A 6,113-nucleotide genomic window follows, 5' to 3' on the forward strand; every position below is an offset into this window, starting at 1 on the left:
CATGTTCCATAAATTGACTTAAATAAATGACATCAAATTATCTAGAAACCAAATATAATTTATCACAATTACATAATCATTTCATTTTTCTTTTAATCTTTACTATCTGCCTGGAATATACTAGATGCTTAATAATAATTATTAAGGAATTAACACTATGAAAAAAATAACATTTCGGAGATTTCTAGGCATTTGGTACATATTGATTCATAAACCATAAAATAATCAATTACAAATAACTCCCCAAAAAAGGTAAAACCCATGAAGTTATTGAAAAGTGTAACTGCTAAGAGTTCATATCACAGCAGTGGTATTAACAAAGCCTAGAGACAATACTGATGAATTAAGAGCATGGGACAAGAAAATGATGACTTGTTAAAAGAGATAGGTTCTTTCATAGGAGATTTTCTTTTTTCCATCATCATGGTAGAATATAAATACTCCACATAGTGTAATAATTAAACATTCTAGTTAATGATGCATTGCCAGACTAAACATAACATTTGTTCTAAAACTCTAATAAAATATAGTACATTTAATAGAAAGAGTAAATGAAAACAACTGAATATTTAATGTTTAGAACATGTTTAGGGTTTCACAATGAGAAGTTAAGTAGAGTAATTTGAAATCTTGGGATAACTTTTTTTACTATGCTGCAAGTTAATTTCCTAATTGGTAAAAGAGAAGGGGTTACATTAATCTCTAAAGAAAGTTTCTACTCCTGTTTCTGATGAAAAAGCATGTGATCACAGAAACTATCAGATACTTTAATAGTATAGCACATTTTATATAGAATACGGTGCTCATTTTAATAAAAATAGACTTTCTGACAGACTAATTTCTTCTTAGGTATAACTGTGTCATATCTGGGTTAACAAGTTGGTAATTAATTTTTATAATTTTAAACATTTTCATTTCCATTTGAAGTTTAATTTTTTCATAAATATATTATGAATGTATTTGATTTTTACTAAAATAAAGTAAATTTTTTAATCATTGTATCACAGCATTATTTTGTTTTCTCCTTTAGATGGCTACATTTTGAGATCTAGTATAAATTCTTACCTCTATGAGATAAGGCTCCATTTGATCCAGGGTTTTCCCAAGATGCTTATCAGGATCTAAACCTGCCAAGAAAGGTTACATTTTTTAAAGATAACTATCAGATAGGAACTTTAAAGACACATTCCCCTTCCCTTGGCCCCTCCTCACCTAGAAAAGCAGTGTGTATATATTTTGAATTGCTTTGATCATAAAGTAAAATGTACTTTGCTAGTATTTACTTTTCTATTCCCCTTGGGTAACTGGTTTTATTGCTTCTGAAAAGTAAGTTTCCACTTATTTCAATTGCACTGTGTCAACTACCAGACGCATTGTTTCAATTCCTTTATCCATTTTGAGGAGCAGTAATTAGATAGAAAAAAAGAGTATCATTTCAATTACATGAAATTTTAATTCTTTATATTTTAATGGTTATGATTTATTTTACTGATGGACAACAGCATTAATTTTCTGATTTATCCCTGTTTTATTTAAACTTCAAACTTCTTAGACAATAAGAGTAGAAAATAGCAGTAGACTGTTATGCTTATGTAATTAATTCACTTAACAGTGGCATATGGGCACAAATAATTGCATTATTAAATTAAATGACATTTCATTTCAATGACTCCTTCGCAACACTGTATTTTTCAAGTAAAGATAGAGACAACTCTGAAAAATCATTACTGTGCCAATAGCGTGTGCGTAACCTTTAATAAAGATTCAACTGACATAACAGTAGAGTTTATATAGGTAATGGGGTGTGGGAGACAAGTGTGAGCAATATGAATGCTTTCCATACACCAAGACTAACCAGCTAGGAAAAAAAATCCCATGTCACAAGTGGGCTATGAAATAAATGAATTCATTTTGGATATTTACATTCATATTTACATATATTGGCATAGTTTCATTTACAAAAGTTAATGTAATGAAAGGCAATACTATAGAGCAAAGACAGTTTTGTCAACAAATGGTGTGAAATAACTGGATATCCACATGCAAAAAAATGGATCTAGACACAGACTTTACACTCTTCACAAAATTAACTTAAAACAGATTGTAGACATAAAGGCAAAATGCAAAATTATAAAACTCCTATAACAGGAAAAAAATCTAGATGGTCTTGGGTATGGTGATGACTTCTAAGATACCTCACCAAAAGCACGATCCATTAAGGAAACAATTAATAAGCTGACTTCATTAAAATTAAAAAACCTCTGCTCTGTGAAAGATAATGTAAAGAGAGTAAGAATAAAAGCCACAGACTGGGAGAAAATATGTGCAAAGAACATCTGATAAAGGACTATTATCTAATATATACAAAGAACTCTTAAAACTCAACAATAAGCAAACAACAATCCAATTTAAAAATGGGCAAAAGACCTTAACAGACACCTCGCTAAAGATATATATAAGCATATGAAAAGATCCTCCACATCATATGTCACCAGAGAAATGCAAATAAAACAAGAAGAAGAAACCACTACACACCTATTATAGTGGCCAAAATCTGGAGAACTTACAACACCAAAAGCTGGCAAGGATGTAGAGCAATACTATTGCTGATTGGAATGCAAAATGGTACAGTCACTTTGTAAGACAGTTGGGAGGTTCTTACAAAACTGAACATATTCTTACTATACGATCCAACTGTGGTGTTCCTTGGTGTTTACCCAAGGTATTAAAAACCCTTTTCTGCACAAAAACCTGCACATGGATATTTATAGCAGTTTTATTCATAATTGTCAAAATCTGGAGCACCAAAATGTATTTCAGTAGGTGAACGACTAAGTAAATTGTGTATATCCAGACAATGAAATATTATTCAGTGCTAAAAAGAAAGCAGCTATCAAGCCATGAAAATACATGGAGGAAATGTAAATGTATATTACTAAGTGAAAAAAGCCAATTTGAAAACGCTACATATGGTATGATTCCAACTATATGACATTCTGGAAAAGATAAAACTATGAAGATAGTAGAAAGGCCAGTGATTGCCAGGGGTTTTGGGTAGGGGGCAGACAAGGTTAAATAGGCAGAACACAGATGATTTGTAGGGTAGAAAAATACTCTGCACGATACTATAATGATGAATACATGTTATTATACATCTGTCGAAGCCTGTAGAATGTACATCACCAGCAGTGAACCTTAATGTAAACTATGAACTTTGGGTGATTATGATGTGTCATTGTAAGTTCAACAATTTTAACAAATGTACAACTCTAGCAGGGGAGGTTGATAATGGGGGAGGTCATGCGGTATGGGGTCAGGGTAAATGGAAAATCTCTGTACATTTCTCTTAATTTGCTGTGAACCTACAACTGCTTTAACAAAATAAAATAAAAAAATTTGGTAAAGTTTCCTTGTGGTCTAGAGCATAATCAAATTTCATAAATGCTCCATTTCTGCTCGAATGAAAGTATGTTTTCTATCTGTTGAAAGCAAGATTATGTACCTAAACACATAAAATCATGATCATACTTGTTAATTTTGTTGTTCACATCTTTTATGGCCTTAAAAATTTTTGATCTCCATGAACCATCAGTTTCTAATAATAAGATTAAAAAAACACCCATTATGATTTTGGTTTTAATAATCTCTTCTTACAATTCTGTCATTTTTCCTTAATATATTTGAAAGCTATGTTGTTATATGTGCACAAACTCATAATTTCTAAAACTTCTTGATGGAATTATTCTGCTTATCAAGAAGTAGTGACTATTTCATCTCCATCAGATTTTTATCTTGTAATCTATATGTCTTCTATGAACACTGTGACACCAGCTTTCTTTTGCTAATATCTTTCTTATATATATTTTCCATTATTTGTTCTCAAATTTTTTGTATTGTTTTTGTTTTAGATGCCCACATATAATTGGATTTCTTTTGTTCCACCCAATCTTATAAATATGACTCCAAAGAATTGAGTTTAATCATTTTATATTATATGGCTGGACCTGTTTCTACCATCTGAGTATAAATTTTCTGTACATTAAGCTTTATATATTTTTCTTTTATTTTTTTCTGCCTCATACTGAATTGAAAATTATTTTAATGTTTTACTCTGCTGATCAGAATGCTATAGAGTGAATTTCTACTTTTCGGATAATCATCTGTGATTTTTTACATACATTCAAAACCATATTTTTAAAGTCTTAATGTATTAAGTATCTTTAGCATCCTTTAGACCAGAACTTAGTATGTTTTAACTAGGCACTAAACAGGCTTCATCATTACTATTATTATTGTGTTGAATTTTTGTTCCATTATTTTTAGCAAGAAAAATTAAGGTTATCAACATATTTACAATGTTTATGCTCACTATTGTTTCTCATTCATTTCTCCTTGAATCAATCTATTTCTAACTGAAATTTGTTCTTTATTCTTTCACTGATGATCTGTGAGTGGTATACTCTCCCAGTTTTTATAGGTCTCATAATGTCTCTATGTTACTCTCACAATAGTTTAGTTGCAATATATTACTTTTGGCATTTGTTGTTCCTAATGAAAATTATGATGTCAGTATGATAGTGGCTCCCATATAAGGAATCTTTATTTTCTATATGCTAGATTGTACAATTTTCAATGTACCTATGACACAATTTTCAACATACTTAGTACATTTTGCAATCTTAATTCAATATGTCTAGGCACATGTTTATTTTAATTAGTACTGGACAGCACCTAATGCGTACTTTTAATCCAAAAACTCATGTCTTTCTTCAAATCTAGAGCATTTTCAGCTATTACATCTGCTTTTCTGCCTTCTATTTTTTCCTTGAAACACCTATTACACAAATATTTCAATTTCCCAATCTAGCCTCCATGTTTTAATTGCATTTTCTATTTTTTTCCTCTGTCTGTGGCTTTTTCTATTTTTTTCCTCTCTCTATGCCTTCTTGGTGAATTACTTTTTCTCTTTTTTTTCTGCTGCACTCATTCTCTCTTTGACGTGACTAGCATTTATTCTGCCCACTGAAGTTTTTTTTCATGACTATGTTTCATTTCTAAAATTTCTAATTGGTTTTCACATCACTCTGTTACTGTTTCATTCCAGGCAATTTATTTTTCTAATAATCACTTTTTTAAACAAATAGATTTTATATTTTTCTTGATCTCTTTGAGGTTCTCCCTCTTGTAGGGCACTTCCCATTTCTGTTTCCCAACAGGACATGATCTTCCAACTGCTTTTGCCTGCTTCCTGGATCCCTACATTACAGCACACAACTTCAGTCCTGTTCACTACTTTTTGTCTTTTCATTTCTAGCTAACAGAGATGTTTACAATGTTTTCCAGTACAATTACGTTTTTCACATTTTTCCTTCTTATATTCATCTATGACTGCCATGGGTTTGGGAAATATGTTAAAATCCAAAGCATGAATATACAAGGTCAGCATGGCTGGAAGTCACTTTTTAGCCTTCCCTCTAACTGTGTGTGTGTGTGTGTAACAACACATACATATAACACAGTCAGCATTAGGGCATCATTTAAAAAGTCTCCCATGATTGAATTTGAGAATTTGTGTTTTGCATTCTATGTACGAGTCTGGAAGTAAATATATGCAAATATATGCCTATAAGGCATGAAAGGGAATTTAAGAGCATAGAGCTTTACACAGGTAGGCACCATAAGATCTCATTTTTCTTGCAGTCTTTTAATTCGTTGCAGAGTATCAAGCCCCAGTTCAGAATTGTTAAAATATAGAAATAGCAGTTACATCTCATTTCAGAGATGGCTGTATTCCACAGTGGATAAAGTTATTTGGGTTGCCTTTAAATATGAGTCAGTAAATAATGTAAATATAAAACACACTGGGCACACTTTCCACATGAACCTGTGATCTTCACACAGGTATACCTTGGTAAAAATTAGTTGGCCATTTAAACACTTTTCTGTATTCATGAAAGTATTTTCAATTTAGTTATTCTTGGGCTAAGCACTAAAAATTCTATGAAGCTAAAATCATTGAAGTAAATAACATTTAAAACATTAGAGAAAAATTTTCAACCATTTTCCTGAGACATATTAGAGATCATTTCACTACAAAAGGAGATTATTGTAAA

General features: G+C 31.1%; 1 protein-coding gene across 11 annotated transcripts in view; it reads right to left on the bottom strand.

Annotated features, from left to right (window-relative positions):
• The window catches only part of DPH6 (diphthamine biosynthesis 6), a 401,189-nt gene that overhangs the window by 264,793 nt on the left and 130,283 nt on the right, over positions 1-6,113 (bottom strand). For all 11 annotated transcript variants that reach the window (XR_001751412.3, XR_007064493.1, XR_001751413.3 and 8 more), the window contains exon 6: positions 1,066-1,127. Coding sequence is in view for 7 of the 11 variants with exons in the window: in XM_047433263.1 (XP_047289219.1) it covers positions 1,066-1,127 (62 nt within the window). In the remaining 4 variants the exon portion in view is untranslated. The remainder of the gene's footprint in view (positions 1-1,065; positions 1,128-6,113) is intronic.

Source organism: Homo sapiens, chromosome 15, assembly GCF_000001405.40.
Source record: "Homo sapiens chromosome 15, GRCh38.p14 Primary Assembly".
In the NCBI taxonomy this organism is placed as follows: domain Eukaryota; kingdom Metazoa; phylum Chordata; class Mammalia; order Primates; family Hominidae; genus Homo; species Homo sapiens.